Below are 16,592 nucleotides of genomic sequence, written 5' to 3'. Positions count from 1 at the left end.
GATACAGAGCTTAATTTTAAATGCTGGGTCCTTTTGGGGAGTTGTTGAATACATGAATGGTGGAGAAGCAACCATCATAAATCAATTGGAAAAGAAAAGTTAAGCCAACCTGCAAAAGAGAACATTAAGATGTATTTTAGTAGCATTTGAAGGAAAAACAGAAGTGTCTGGGTAGAATGTCTGTTTATGGAGGCTGACATAACATACCTTCCCAGTGGGTAATTAACAACAGAATTGCTGTTGACTGTATGAATGACGAGTCCTATCTGCAGTTTCACCCCTGCATGTTTATACAGCAGCTATTTTTGTTTAATGTGCCAGATTAAATATATTATTAATCTTAGAGCCACAGTTTCTTAAGGGAGTTTTTCAGAATTACACATTAATTTAGAAAGGCTTTTGAAAAGTTAGACTTAAGAAAGATTTTCATGTATGTGATTTTTAGTGCAAAACCCTTATATTTTATCCATGGTGTTCAGTAGTCATATTTCTGCTCCCAATTTTAACAAAGTAAGAATCAGATTTTAGTTTGAGCATATAAAATAAAGTAGTAAGAATAAATCAAACTACTTCTAGTTTTTATTTTTGGTAATATAAGAAAAAAACATGCTTTGACAATAGAATTTCTTGTGTGTAAATCTTCCCCCAAGAGGGATGTAATTTTTTTTTTAATTAGAAAAGGTTTAGTTCACTATGGATCATGAGAAAAGGAGAAATTATATCCATTTCTTGCCCCCTTTCCTCCCACCAAAAATATTTCCTCCCTTTTGTTATTAGAGACCATGTATAAGAGAAGGTAAAATCAGGGCAGTGTCTGCTAGCCTTGGAAAAGTAATTTCATTATTTGTGGACTCTGTTTACAGTAAAGGGCCTCAGTGTGTTCAACAGTATTATCAGGTATACGTGAGCAAGCCTAGATAAGAGTTTGGGGTGATTAAGTAAATGATTAGTTTATATACCTAGAGAATTGACTTGAATTATACTGGTGAGTCTCTGGATGCATTCTGCTTTTGCTAATTGCAAATACTTCTTTTTAGCATATCCACCAAATCATTATAATCTGTGCTTCTGAAAATACAACACAAATACCACTTCACCAACCACAAAAATGTACTTTCCCTGGATATTTACACATGGGCTTTTATACATTTGCTATTCGATGGACTCCATCCTATTTTCCTAGAAAAGTGTATTGTCAGTGTGACCAAGATGCACAATATTACAAATATATTTTAGGAATTATATTCTGTGTCTAGGATGACTTGCAACATGAGCTGTTGGAAACAAGCCAGACCAAAGACTGTTGAAGGGATTAGATCGTAAGGGTTGATGCAGAGTGGTAGTAACAGAAATGGGAAGAAAGAGAAGAATGCAGTCTTAGTGGAGATGTTGGGAATGCCTGCCCGTTTGGCAGATGGTTAACTCAGTATCCATTCTCAGGTGGTGGAAAGTGGAACTAAAGGGTCTGTCTTGCAGGTAACAGTACAGGAGCAGAATGAGAGTTTGTTCCTAGAGGGCCAGGCAGGGCTCACTTCACGGATGTGCAACCCATGCAGTTGCACAGGGACCCGCTCTCAGAAGAGTTCGTGCTTGGTTGAATGCTCTGCCATTGCCATCTTGAAATACTTACTAATTTTTTCATAAGGAGCCTCGCATTTTGATTTTTCTTGTGGCCCCACAAATTACATAGCCAGTCCTGGCTTGGAGACTACAATTTTCGTGTGATAATTGGGTCCATGGAAGAAGTCCAAATACATGGAGAACACCTTACTTCAGACTTTGGGGATGTTAGGAAGCAATAAACAGAGGGGATAAAGAAATAGCAAAAAGACAAAGTAGGGGAGGTGGCAGGTGATTGGAGGAAATGAGCAGAAGAGCCAGAGCTGGAGGACTCTGGAAAGGCTCAGCCAATAACTCTTCAGCCTGATACATGGATGATAAACTTCACCTGATAATCGCATTGATATTTGAAAGAAGGCTGGGTACATCTTATGTGTCGTCTTTTGATAGGATTGCTTAGAACAAAGTTGAAAAAGAAGTGACCAAAATTTATTTGTGTTGTGCCTATTACAGAACTACTTCTTCAAGTTTTAGTTACTTCAGTTCATGACTTTAGAAACGTCAATATTCTAAAACATCATCACTAACTAAAACCAGCAGTCCCCTTTCCGCATTTTGCTGAGTCGTGAACTGTCATGCCTGTCTGGGAAAAGCTGATTGGCATTGTGTGCACTTGTGGTAACCATGGAAACATCAGACACAGTGGTGATACATGAACCAGCCCCAGTCCCACAGCTGTACTTACTGTCATAGGTCTTATTAAATAGGTATCTATGTAGTCAGAGCATGTTTCATAGAAATGGAGTGTTCATTAAACTGAAACTTCATACATTGCCTCTGGGCTTTTGGGGATAGGAGTATGATACCTCCCAACTTGAAATTCCCACAGATAGGTGAGGTCATAGTCATCGGGTGATACTTAATGAGCCCATGTTTTTCTTTCATTGGATGTAAACTATGCTCGGTGAGTGCTTTTGAGGGCTGCATTAGTGGTGCTTTAATGTACCAAGTGGGATGCAATCCACCATTCTTCTTTCATGTTCCTTTTTGTGGAACTGCTGTTGACTCTCTCTCACTCTTGAGTAAGGTACATACACTGAGGCTTCCATTGCTTGGGGCTGCCCTCAGCCCCTAGGAGACAGGCCTAGTGGAGGAGAGGCAGCCCATAAGCACAGAGGGTCTGTCTGCTGCCTGCCAGAGCACCATCCTACACACTTGCCTTGTGAACAGATGGCCAAGGAGTCTGGCTGGCCTGCCCCCACCATGGATCTGAGTGGTCCTCACCACTCAGGCAAGCATAGGCAGTTGTCTGTCCTCAAGAGAAGGACCCTAGGGGACAGAACACTCCACAGTATGTCCCTAGGGCTGGTGCGTAGAGAACATTTAGAGTTTTCCTAAAGCTCTGACTTTCTGCCACTGCCCTTCCTGAACCTCAGAGTGGGCTCTTAAGCGTTAGCTTTCAAGTGCTTTGGGGTGTTTTTCTTTGCTTGGGATGAATAAATTGTCTCATGGTTTTTAGTGCTTGCTGGTTGAAACTTGTAATGGTCCACAAAGTCTTTACAGGTTTTCCATTGCAAAAATCCATCTAGAACGATGGGATTTATATGCTTAAAAGTCAAGTCAATTTACCTAATAAAGGAAAAACGGGAATTATCTGAGCCCATCTGAAGCTCTCAAGCTCTGGGTCAGTGACATCTAAGAAAGCAGGACACCTGTATCAAGAACAGATATGACTTAGAATGAAGAATGAAACCATTGCTTTGCTTCTGTTATTTTCTTTGCACTTGATGCAAATGTTAATTGTGATCAGCTCTGAACTTAAATGTGTCCTTGTCCTGTCACTTGGACAGTTTGAGGAAAAGGCAGAGAGAGACAGGCTGGGCTGCGAGGGCCCAAGGGAGAGGGCTGGCATGGAGGCCCATACGTGCACCTTTGGCAGAGCCCCATGGCAGCTTGGGCAGGAAGGGCATCTCTAACAGTCTCCTTCCCCCTTAGATAGTGACGAGAGGCTGCGAGACTGTGGAAATGACCCTGAGGAGGAACGGGCTGGGCCAGCTTGGCTTCCATGTGAATTTTGAAGGAATTGTCGCAGATGTGGAACCTTTTGGCTTTGCCTGGAAGGCTGGCCTTCGCCAAGGGAGCCGCCTCGTGGAGATCTGCAAAGTAGCCGTGGCCACTCTGACCCACGAGCAGATGATCGACCTGCTCCGTACTTCTGTGACTGTGAAGGTGGTCATCATCCAGCCCCATGATGACGGCTCGCCCCGAAGGTAAGGCGTGGGAGGCCCAAGTAATGCTCACTCCTCCTTTGCCTCTGTAGCAGGTGGCTGTCCTCAGTGCTCCTGCAAGGTCCTCAGAAAATGCAGTCAAGTGTGTCTTTGTACAGTGTTCTGGGATGTCACTCATTTGTACAATGTTGTTGGGATGTCACTCGTTCGAGGAATTGAAAAGGAGCTTTAAAATATGTAATAGATGATAAAAAATAATTTGCTAAGCATTTTAATGGAACATTGACTACATTAAAGCTGAGCTATTCTGAACTAAGGGGAAGAGCACCTGCCTGGTTCCCCTGGACCTCTTATATCTAAGAGGAAATAATTCTGTATCACAGCTCAGCCTTGAGCACATTAAATACTTAACTATTCAGTTAGAATTTCTTCCCATAACATGAAGCCATTGATTATTTAAAAAATATTTAACAGACCAATAGTTGTAGGTATGAAAGAATGTTGGAACAGCACAGGTACTCTCTGTGGTAAATACTCCATTCTCAATTGAAGCTTGAGAGATGTTGAACTGGTTCAGGGCGTTATCATAAACTGTCAGGAGAAATAGATGAAAAGGAACGGCTAGACTTGGAAGGTTCAGAGGCGGATAGGTGGAGGGCTGGGATAAGAACGGGGTTAGAAAGCAATACTATTACATTACTAATAGAAAATAATCATGCCCAACATAAAATATTAGGCCAAAAGGAGAAAGAATGCTAATTAAGAAGGAGCCGTTTATTGAGGCTGTGGCCCACTACTTGTGTTAATGCATGACTGGTGGTAGTATCTAGAGCACCTTCCCTCTATCTTCATTCCCAAATGGAGTTCGTACAGGCAGCCTTAAGAGCTCTGGCTTTTGAGAGACAAAGTATGCTTGGAATCCAGGAATTTGCTGTGTGGCCTGGGGCAACTCACACACTCTCTCTAAGTCTCACTTACTCTCTGTAAGATGGGATTATTATATCGCCTACCTCCTATGATTTCAATGAAGATGAAATAAAGTAACACATGTAAAGCACTTAGAACCTTCTAGCATAATTGCCCCACACATTTAATTTAGAAAAATAAAACTTTAGGGGCTGGGCGCTATGGCTCACACCTGTAATCCCAGCACTTTGGGAGGTCGAGGTGGGCAGATCGCTTGAGCCCAGGAGTTTGAGAGCAGCCTGGACAACATGGCAAAACCCCATCTCTTCAAAAAATACAAAAATTAGCCAGGTGCAGTAGTGTGCACCTGTAGTCCCAGCTACTCAGAAGGGGAAGGTAGGAGGATCCCTTGAGCCTGGGAGGTCGAGGCTGCACTGAGCTGAGATCGTGCCTCTGTACGCCAGCATGGGTGGCAGAGTGAGACTGCATCTCAAATAATAATAATAAATAAAACTTTAGCATATTCATTTTAATTTCTTTCATATGAAAAAATAAATTCTGATTATCCAAAGATAGTAGGATTGTTGGGTCTACTTTCTGGACTTACTAACCTAGGTCATACTCTCTCCTTTCTCTGTTTCCTTTCTTCCTCCTTTAAGCCAGCACTCTCCATTAGCACTTTCTACAGTGATCTGTGTCTGTACCGTTCAGAGCAGTAGCCACAAACCACATGTGGCTATTACGTACATGAACTGTAGTGCAACTTAGGAAACGAATTTTTCCTTTTAATTAATTTACATTTAATTGGCCACGTGTTGCTAGTGGCTGCCATATTGGATAGATCAGCTAAACCATGATCTCCTTTTAGGAAAAAAAGCCACTTACACTGTCTTCCTCTATGGTTAATGTGCAAAATCTTGCAAAAATCTTTCTCTATTAGTTATCTTAGCATTTGCCTCCAGCCTCACTTTCTGTGGCCTTGTTTCCTGTATTTGCCCAGTGTGTTTATAAAATAAGGATTTAAGAAACTAAGTTTTCTCTGTAGAGTATCAGTCCCGTGTTAAGATGTTTCTTATTGCCTTGCCTGATTCTGCCTAGTTGAATCTGTCTGCTTTTCCAGAGTCCCATGAATCACATGTACTGCTATGAGTCCAAAGAAAATAAAAAATTAATTTATTAAAAATGAGTCTTGGAAATAACAAAAGGCAAATCCTTTAGGCCTTAAAAGCTAAAGTACTGTATATGTAAAATTCTTTTATAGTACATTTTCCAGCATTTGTTAGAAATTTTTTCATACAGTAAGATTTCTGTCTTCCTTAGTAGAAATACAGGTTTTTAATTATTAAGATAAGAATCAGTCTTTTATCTGCCTTTGTATCAAGTCTTTTATCTGTCCTAGCAGCCGATTACTATAGAATTGGACAAAAATGTTACCTTGCGCTTCCTTTGGGTTAAAAAATAACATTTCTTGCCTATTTTTAGTTTTGGTTTACTGTTAGTAAGAAATTTTTAAAGCTTTCAAGAGATCTGTTTAATAAAAATGGTAAAGTTGTCGTGATATTTGGTATTTAGAAATACAATTTAGGAGGATAGAATTTTCTACGAAATATTGAATTGTTTTTCAGCTAAAACAAACAAAAACTACAATTTAAAAGTTCCAGCAGCTGTTATCTTTTTATCCAAGGACATGTTTTTCCTCTAAGGAATCAGTTATCTGCCTTGGTCTACACATAATTAATTCTTTGTTTTAAATGCAAATTCTCTTAATGGAGCTAGGCAAGATATTTATTTAAAGATTTTGCCCTTGCCTCCTAGGAGTCTCATTAATGTCATTCCCTAAACATACAGGGTTTTTTTTCCCAATTAATCTGTAATAACTGTCTTTTAACCTTAGCCAGAAGGATTAGAATTAGCTATTTGCCTAGTAGCAACGTTCCAAAATTGGCACACCCATCACCCACATTTCTGCAGGTCATGAAGGCTTTAAGCCTAGCCTGTATCATTTAAAACTCTTTCAATTCAGTTTTCCAATTTTCTAGGAATCTGAATTTGTAAATTTTTAAATCCATATTTTTGTTAGTTTTGATTTGTTTTCTGCCTGCAACTGTCTGGGTGCCCTGATAAAAGTATTTGGTGTTGTGAGACAACCTCTCATAACCAGATACCACCCTTGCAATACCAGCCCTTTGCTTTAGACCGCAAGTGTAAGTATGAAGTGTCATTTTCAGTTTCACCCTCGCGCTCAGCATGTTTAGCCTTCTGCATTATTAGATTTGTTAAGAAACTGTAGAGGAGGGGCTAAGGGGAAATGGGTAGCACTTCACTCCTTTTAAAATTTAAAATACAAACCCTTTAAATCAAACATCCTTTAGTACTGTTAACCATATAGCAACACATAACAGGATGTGCCTCAAGCTAAAGCTATACATTTGACTTGCAGCATGGAAAATGACCTCCAACTTTCTCAGATGGACTCTTCGTGCTTGTGAGGGAGGAGAAATATTATTTAAATGGACATGTATATGCATGTGTGTGTTTCTGTGTGTATGTGTGTATATATACATATACATTTTTACAGTAGTTTTTAACATAAACACTATGAAGACTACAAAAATGGCCAAATTAAGGAATTATGAGATATTTTAGTCTCATAAATGTTGTGAAAAATGCTTCAGTTCATTTTTGCCATTTATCAACTCCCGTTTTAGAAAATCATTTGACATGGGAGCCCAGCTCCTCCTGTGGGCAGCATGAGTGGCCTGTCATTTAATAGACAGTTTTTCTTGTCCTCAGGTCAAAAGGTGTTTGGTTTTGACTCAGAAGCTGCTGGAATAAATGCAGTCTTTAGTAGGAAAAGTATTTATTAATCTGTTGAATCCAAAGCCACCTGTGTTTTGAATTCCCATAAAAGTATTTATGTTCAACCTAAAGCCACCTGTGTTTTGAAGTCCCATTTGCCAGCCTAAGGGAGGTGACAGTCTAGCTTGTCCCTCAGCGTGAAGGGAAGTCAGAGCCATTTTTAGTTTTCCTTGTGGAGTTGCAGGGAACACTGAGCAGGGAGAATCCCCCTTGAGGGACACTTATTAACTGATCTCGTGCTGGGATTGGATCCTGGAGTGAATTCATATACATTGGGAATGAGTGGCAAGAAGCAGTTTGGGAATAGTACTCTTCAAATGGAAATGAGGTTTGAAAGGGGAACCAGGGTGTTTCTCAAGCAGACAGTCTCTGTGGCAAAGATGAAGAGTTGCTGGGGCCAGAAATGCTTAATTAAGATCTGTCTTGTTTTTGCAAGGGATAATTTACAGCCACCGGTATGGCCCTGGCCTCTGGCCTTCAAAGGTGACTGACATTCTATCAGTGTCATTTGAAGGAAAGCATATCAACCTAAAAGGCGGATATAAAGGAAGTAACAACTCATCAGAATTATGCATGAGTTGTTATATAATGTGAGTGAATTTAGTAAATATGTCCAATAAAAATGGAAATGAAATTCCTTGCTGCAGTGCATCTGTTTTTTTGTGATTTTTTTCATACTTTGTTGACATACTATCCAAGGCATTTTTCTATATAATGCAAAACAGTGGAAATTTTCTCATGTTATCATGAGTCTAAATTATTATTCTCTCATCATTCTATAAAAATTAAAACTTTATGTTCTCATCTCCTGTTTTGCTGTCTGTTGCCTGGTCATTCAACTCCCTGAAGTATGCAGAGAGGAGAGTATGGAAATAGAAGGAAAACTCAATTTTGTCAGTTTAACAGTTTTTATTTTTAGATGTATATCTACACACATACATATATAAAATAAATGGTGGGCTGAAATCTGGACTCAAGTGAGCCTTCTTTTTTTAAAAATTTTTTCCATGCTTTATCCCATTTATTATTCATTACAAAGCAGACTTTTTTTTCTTCCCAGCTTTTAGGTTCAAGGGGTACATGTGCAGGTGTGTTACGTGGGTAAATTACGTGTCGTGGGGGTTTGGTGTACAGATAATTTTGTCACCCAGGCAATCAGCATACTACCCAGCAGGCAGTTTTTCCATCCTCACCCTTCTGTCACCCTTCACCCTCAATAAGCCCTAGTGTCTATTATTCCTTTCTTCGTGTCCATGTGTACTCAATGTTTAGCTCCCGCTTGTAAGCAAGAACATGACAGCATTTGGTTTTCTGTTGCCGTGTTAATTTGCTTAGGATAATGGCCTCCAGCTCCACCTGTGTTGCTGCAAAAGACATGGTTTCGTTCTTTTTATGGCTGTATAGTATTCCATGGTGTATATGGAATTTTCTCTTTTTTTTTTTTTTTTTGAGACAGAGTCTCGCTCTGTTGCCCAGGCTGGAGTGCAGTGGCGCGATCTCGGCTCACTGCAAGCTCCGGCTCGCTGCAAGCTCCGCCTCGCTGCAAGCTCCGCCTCACGGGTTCACGCCATTCTCCTGCTTCAGCCTTCCGAGTAGCTGGGCCTACAGGCACCCGCCACCACGCCCGGCTAATGTTTTGTATTTTTAGTAGAGACGGGGTTTCACTGTGTTAGCCAGGATGGTCTCGATCTCCTGACCTCGTGATCCTCCCACCTCAGCCTCCCAAAGTGCTGGGATTACAGGCGTGAGCCACGGCACCCGGCCAACCACATTTTCTTTATCCAGACCACTGTTGAACATCTAGGTTGATTCCACGTTTTTGTTGTTATAGTGCTGCAGTGAACATATGCGTGCGTGTGTCTCAAGTGAGCTTTTTATATTCGAGTTCCAACTTATTTGTATGGATAATAAAAATTAGTTATGTCTAGTGTTGTCTTATGGACGCTCCAGTATTGAATTTTGATGTGAAATGTGAAAACAATACAGAACAAAGGTAACCTAAAGTACAATCACTATTCTGAGTCCTCTGGCCAGTTTCTCCAATATAACATTCAGATTGTTCTCTCACTCCCTAAAGTAAGAACATAGGATTATAGAATTTAAGGTAGATTGCCTTGCATTCACTCATTCATTCATTCATTCAGCCACTCACTCTTAACTAGCTTGTGCCAGGAACTGTGCTGAGCACTGGGGCTGTTAAAACGGATGGGACAGATGTAATCTGACTTTCAAGGACTCCTTTTAGTCTTTCTGGCTTTCTAAAATGCAGTAGTACTTATTCATATTTTGGCTATTTAAAAGTGATTTTTCTCAAACTACAGCAACAACTTACTACTTAATAATAAATGTCTCAGGGTAGTGTAGAAAATGCTGTCACCCTTTCCAAGTAATAATCTACACTTCAGTGCCCACGTGTTTTTTCATTTTGAATGTTGGGATATTACCATCACAATAAGAGGAATGCAGAGGATGGCGGTAAAGCATGAGCATTGTGTTAGACTAGTAACCATCTCATGCTTGACAGGTTACACCGTGGCTACCATAGTGGACAGCCATTGGATATTCTCCCCCCATAGAAATACATTCGTCAAAAATCAGGCGTCAGATAGCTAGCTATTGAGAATCTTCTCTGTATAATTTTGAAGTATTACAGTGCAGTGTTACTCCTGCTCTCAAGCTTTCTAAGAAACAAAGCAGTTGATTTTGACAAGAACGTGCTGAGCTTCTGTCCAGTGCTCTGCCAGGTACTGGGGATACAAAGATACCATCTGCCCCTGTGTCTGCTTCTAGTAAGGGAGGAAAAGGATGGAAGGAAGCTGATGAATTAGTAAGTGCCAGATAGCCTCACTTCCTATTTCATACGATACCTTTTCAATTGCTGACCTTTATAAGAGGGCTTGGTCAAGTGTGATTATGGTTCATATGTCTTTTTTTCTACCTATTCTGGGTATCTCTGTTTCTATCTGTAAATTAAGGAATTTGTTGAAAAGCAAGTTACTATTTCATTTAGTGCCTATTTCATGTATGCCACTGCCCTAACCTTTACAGTAAGTTATACTATGTGGTTATCTCCCGGTTGGAAGCCTTTGATTTTTTTATGTACCAGAAAGAGTTTGTGATTCAAGCGAATGAGCATCAATTACCCCTGTCACCTTGTTGGATAATTTGGAGTATTTTAGCTATTAGCAAGCTATTAGCATAACAGACATTAAAATGATTAAAATATCAGTGATTACTTTAATCCCTAGGGCTATAAAATGATTCTTTTACAAAATGCATAATATTAAAAAAACATTTAATTTGTTTTAGAGGATCGGCTTTTGTTTCCAAAGATTCTTTTAGCACCTACTGAAAAATATGACATAGTGTAGGCTGCAGTAACTGTTCTTGGATGGTTTTCAAAAAAAAAAAAAAAAAGCCTTGTGTTTTAGGAAGAGCCCTGAACTTTGAGTCAGAGGACCTGAGTTCCATTGTGAACCCTATCTCTGATTAGCTGTATCATCTTTCCAACCTCTCTAGCCCTTCTTCTGAAAAAATGGAGATTTTCTTTGTACCTCACAAATTTTTGTGAAAGTCAGATGATGTATGTGGAGCACTATAAAGTGCTACACATGCTAAGGTGGTGGATTGGAATTAAAGAATAGCATTGCAGTACTTTGTAAGGCTTTTCCTTAGATTATTGGGTTCACTTAAAGATTCTCTGTGATGCAGCCAAGTAAGGTAAAACCAATAGGGAATTTCAGAGTCCAGTAAATGCAAGTTCCAGTCATGGGATTAGATGAAGCTGTGACTGCACAGTCTGTGGTACCTGGTCCAACTAACTGGTCAACTGCCCTCTCTTTTTTTGATAAGAATATGTATTCTTCCCTTTGAACCTTCTCAGTTCTCTAGGTTTTTTGGTTTTGTTTTGCTACTCATCATTCCCTTAGGACTCTTCCCCTTTCTTAGTTTCATAGTAGCGTAATACAAAGTCATGCATCCTACTTTTATGTAAGATGAAAAGAATAAAATAATGGGATAATGATATATATTGTTCTACAGATGAATGTAGATGAAGGGAATTTTACAGCTTTAAAGATTTTTTTCAATTTGAAAGTTAAACTTTAAAATTCCAGAACTCTATAAACATCTGTTATCTAGAACTTTCATAAAATTTTATGTGCCTTTTGCAGTTTAATGTTGGTTTCCCCCTTTTTGTGGAAACAGAAGTAATAATGTCTATTTGTAGTGAACTTCTTTCTTTTGAAGCTGTCAGTTGAGGAAGTTTACATATTTTATGTAACTTAATCTTGATGCACCCTCTGCTGTTACTATTCTGTTTTCAAGAGGAGGGTCTAAGAGGTTGTCACATTTCTAAGCTACACATAGTCATGTCTGGGTTTTAAGCCTAGAGCCCAAACTCTCTCTTTAATGGAGATAGTTTGGTATCTAGGGTTCCTGTTGGGAACAAATGGAAAAAACCATATGGCTTGACTAGACTCAAACAGTGATGGTCTTGACGGTCAGCCTGCAGAGTTTGAAGACATGATTTAGAACCAAGTCCATAGCCTGGCCAGCAGGGATTCCACCTTCCAGTGTCCAAATTATTGATGGTAAATGGAAGGTTCTTCCGAGAAACTCAAGGTGTTGTTGGAAAGGAATGGGCCTGGGTGGGTGGATGCCATCTTGGGGGCCTTCCTGGGTGCCTCTGAAGTTGTGGAATGCATACACTACAGTACTTGGCAGTGACCGTGGTGTCTGTTAACTGTGGGGGCCTTCCTGGGTGCCTCTGAAGTTGTGGAGTGCATACACTACAGTACTTGGCAGTGACCGTGGTGTCTGTTAACTGTGAGCAAGATAGGACACCCCCTCTTTGCTGATCATGTTCAGGAAGCCAGGAAGTGGTGGCAGCTGTAACCAAGAAGTCTTCTGGTAGGAAACTTAGCTTTAGGCATCAGGAAGCAGGGGAGAAAGCCCATGAGTATGAATATGAATAAGTTAATGAGTGTCCCTTTTACAGGATTAAGCCATCCCAGGAAGTCCACGATGGTGAGTGCAAAAGGACAAGTAATACTGTTTTTAGAATACAGCAGTAAAATAAAAGATCCTCTGAGGATGCCATCTAATGGAATTACTTGTTATTCTTACAGTTTGATAATGCCACATTTTTAACTAACACATTTTCAGTGACCTTCTTGGTCTACAGAATGTTTTGCCTTCCAGTGTATGCTTTTGAGAGAGAAGAGAGAATAGACTCAGAAAAGTTATTGGCTAGACAAGAAATGTGAAAAATTGCACTTATTTTTAACCTGGAGCTGACTTTGTATTGATCCCTATGTAGCATGGTAATTAGGAGCATAAGTTGATGATGTGTACATTTGTTATGGAGCAAAGAGGAAATCAATATGCCTACATAAAAGTGATCCCACAGCCTTATCTTGAGGTTTTTTAGTATCTCCTGTTGGCAAGCAAACTGTAAAGAATGTGCCAGAAGCTAGAAATGCAGTTTCCATCCATTGACTTGATTTGGTATATCGAGAGGAAGCCAAGCATGTGTATCAATGAGGTCTGAATTTTTCTACTGTAGCAGGAAAGCAAAAGTCTTTTCTTTAAAAATGTTGCAGTTACACACGGGTTGAGCAGCTTGTTTTTTTAGAAATGTCTTTTTGTGCTAGGTTTTTGGGCATTTGGTCTGTTCGGGTTTCAGTTAGCCTTTATTTAACTCATCGAAATATTTGCCATGTGCCCCATCCACAGCAGCCCCCAGTTTGACACTCCACATGAGCTGGGGTGTCTTGCCTGGTGTCCTCTGCTAAAACCCCCCAAGTGGGAGAGAGGATGCGTGCCAAGGGGGACGCAGATCCATTTCTGATGGGCACTGCAGCATGAGGACTTCTCCAGGCTCATTTGTCATTCTTCTTTTATGCCTTTTCCCATTTCCCTAAACATTGGTTGAATTTTCTGTATGCATCCTTTAAGGAATTTCTCATATATATGGAACGGAACTGAGTTTGACTAGGTTTGATGATCGCTTATATCAGTAGTACTAATTTGGCACCTTAGTCATAGAAGTAAACAAAGCAAAATCTAGTTCACAAGAGTAGTTGCTGTAAAAGTGTCACATAATAACAAAATTAGTTTGATTTTAAAATAAAACCATTCTTTTGAGAATAGCTAATTTTTATTAGGGCAAAAGAATGCCAGTTCTTAGTATTTTAAAAGACCTTTCCTATATGACTTTCTGCACAAGGTTGGAGATAAAATAATTCCACCCAGATTCTCTCTTCAACTTAATGGATTGCACAGATTTTTGCCAGCATTCTCTCAAAATATGAGTCATGATTATGCATTTATATTACATGTTTCTTTCCAAGCCTCAAGCTAAATTATAGTGTCTTATAAAGACTACAGTCTATGGGCATGAATTAAGTAGGCCACACTACTCAGCCATCTGTCTTCTCTTTCTTTTTTCCTCTTAAAAACCATACCAAACAAACTTGAAGGCCAAACAAGCACTGGAAATGCAAAGATGTCTTTGGGTTCACAAGATTCAAGGTTCACGTTCCTTTCATTCAACATATAACTCCAGGATCTGTAACTTCAATGGTAGTCAGTTACAGTTCCTGATGTGCACTACTCAGGCAGCTGGAACCTGTGAGACACCAAAGCCTGGTGTTCACCTGAACATCCAGTGACGCTTAGAGCATCGATTTGAGTGGAAGACAAAAGTAGGTTTTCTTCATGTTTTATTATCTACTGTCATATCTGACCCTTGATTTCTGATTAGGTCTTTGGCTATGGGGATGAATCAGTAGCCCTAGGGATGTGGTATCTTAATAAACAGAAAACACTTGGAAGCAATATAAATCCATGAACAAAACTTATAGAGCCTTGGCATTTTATAAGAAAATGATGCAACCCAATGTAATTTGCATTTACTCAGTTTGACCAATAATGTAACTGTTAAACTCAGTAAATCCAGAGTAACTTAAACTAAATAAGAGAGGTGAATTTTACTTTCAGGAAGGGAAACAGAGTTAAAATAAAGGATAAGAACTAACCTTTACTGATGCACAGAGAAATCACTACCTCATGTTCTATAAGCAGGTGTTAAGATTTCTTTAGGAGGGTGTATTCAGTCCACTCTACTCTATTAACGCTACCATGAATTTGGTTTCCCAAGCCAAAAGTTAGGATGTTGTTTTTTATTTTTTCTCTTTCTCTGTCCCAAGCTCCAAGTACTATGGATTTGACAAGTTAGAAATCACTTTCACCCAGAATTTTACAAGGATTTCCTTTGTTATATTTTGTACCTTCTAGTATTGTTGTTGAGAAGAATGGAACTATTCCACGCCCAGGTCCTTAGACCCTTAGGCTCCCACCCACCCTGTCCCCAGAACCGTAGGCTTACTTCCTTAACCCAGGAGTCTGAATTCCTCAGTGATGTGTTTTCATGTGGACCATTTTTTATTCATTGGGCTCGGTACTCTCTGGACCTTTTAATCCAGTTTTACATATCTTAGTTCTAGAAATGTTCATATACTATTTCTTAATAATTTTCTCCCCCTTTTTTTTTCCCTCTTCTCTTTTGTGATAGGTCTGTCTGGTAGTTGCCGGACTTTTTAGATTGAACTTCAGTTTCCTTAATTTTTTTTTTTTTTTTTTTTGAGACGGAGTCTCGCTATTTTGCCTAGGCCGGACTGCAGTGGCACTATCTCAGCTCACTGCAAGCTCCGCCTCTTGGGTTCACGCCATTCTCCTGCCTCAGCCTCCCGAGTAGCTGGGACCACAGACGCCCACCACCGTGCCCGGCCAATTTTTTGTATTTTTAGTAGAGACGGGGTTTCACCATGTTAGCCAGGATGGTCTCAATCTCCTGACCTCGTGATCCGCCCACCTCGGCCCCCCAAAGTGCTGGGATTACAGGCGTGAGCCACCGCGCCCGGCCAGTTTTCTTAAGTTTTTATCTCTCATAACTGAGAGAATTTCTCAGTTTACCTTACAACTGTCTTACTGGATTTTTTAGTGTTTAATTTTAACTCTCATAAGTTCCACCTCTTCTTCAGCGATCTAGTTGTTCCATGAGCTTCACTGCAGAGTGATTGGATGGTTTACATCTGCTTGTCTTTTCTCTAGAGAACCATCTTCTTTGATCTCTGTGGGGTGGTGAGCATTCTGAGGCCAAGTTTAGAGGAAGGAGAAGTGACCCTGGGTCTCATCTCTGCCTTAGGCTTGTCATTTTCATCCCTGTTCTCCTCTGCACCTCACGCCCTTGACTCTGCATCTTTTCTGTTCTCTAAAAACCACTGCTGTTGTCCCGCAGTGGTAGGGGATAGGTTACTGCCTGACTAGGCCAGGCGCTGTGTGGACCTCAGGGCCCAGGGCCGAACTACTGTTCCTCCTTTCTAAGTAACTTTTATGCCTAAATCTCCCTTGTCACTTGGCCTTTTGCAGTGCTTGGTGCTTACCGTCCCTGCACCATTTTGGCATTCTGCAAAGACAGTGGTCTTCCTTCCTACTGATTTTTCCCTCAGCACACCTTCCTCTGCTCTGCTGAGCCATAACCTTTCTTCCATTCACCTCCAACTTACATACTGTGTATTAGAGTTTCAGGGATCTCCAAATTCAGTTGGCAGTTGAGGTTGTTTCTGTTTCTTGTTCTCCTTGTTCTGTTGTGATGATTTTCTGAAAAGGCTGAAACTTTTACTATACCATGCTGACAGTGGAGTTCTGCTTTTTAACAGAGTGATCCCTTGTTCTAATAGATTTCTCAAAGGGCAAATATTAGGAAGTGTTGTTGTTGTTGTTTTATGTTGGCTCTGGAATGTCTAGGGAGAGGCACTGGCTTGGGATGCTGACTGGTTTGCCAACATGGTAAATTGAATTCTAGAGTTGAGACTTATCTAGTCTTCCCGTGTCCTTGCCGAACTGCACCAATTAGCTTCGCAGGCTGACTTTGGTCAAGTTAAGAGTACGCCTTGCACTGTGCAGTTGGTGGGAACCTTAGGCATAGCCGACTTAAATCATATATTTTAGGCTAAAGAGTCTTAAGTACCTGAG

General features: G+C 40.2%; 1 protein-coding gene across 11 annotated transcripts in view; it reads left to right on the top strand.

The window, feature by feature from the left end:
- The window catches only part of SIPA1L2 (signal induced proliferation associated 1 like 2), a 232,532-nt gene that overhangs the window by 165,780 nt on the left and 50,160 nt on the right, over nucleotides 1-16,592 (top strand). For all 11 annotated transcript variants that reach the window (NM_001377488.1, XM_017001896.2, XM_047426142.1 and 8 more), the window contains one exon: nucleotides 3,556-3,830. In NM_001377488.1, coding sequence (NP_001364417.1) covers nucleotides 3,556-3,830 — 275 coding nt within the window. The remainder of the gene's footprint in view (nucleotides 1-3,555; nucleotides 3,831-16,592) is intronic.

This window comes from Homo sapiens, chromosome 1 (genome assembly GCF_000001405.40).
Source record: "Homo sapiens chromosome 1, GRCh38.p14 Primary Assembly".
Lineage (NCBI taxonomy): Eukaryota > Metazoa > Chordata > Mammalia > Primates > Hominidae > Homo > Homo sapiens.
The sequence above is the reverse complement of the archived record's forward strand: the minus strand, read 5'-3'. Positions and strand labels throughout refer to the sequence as shown.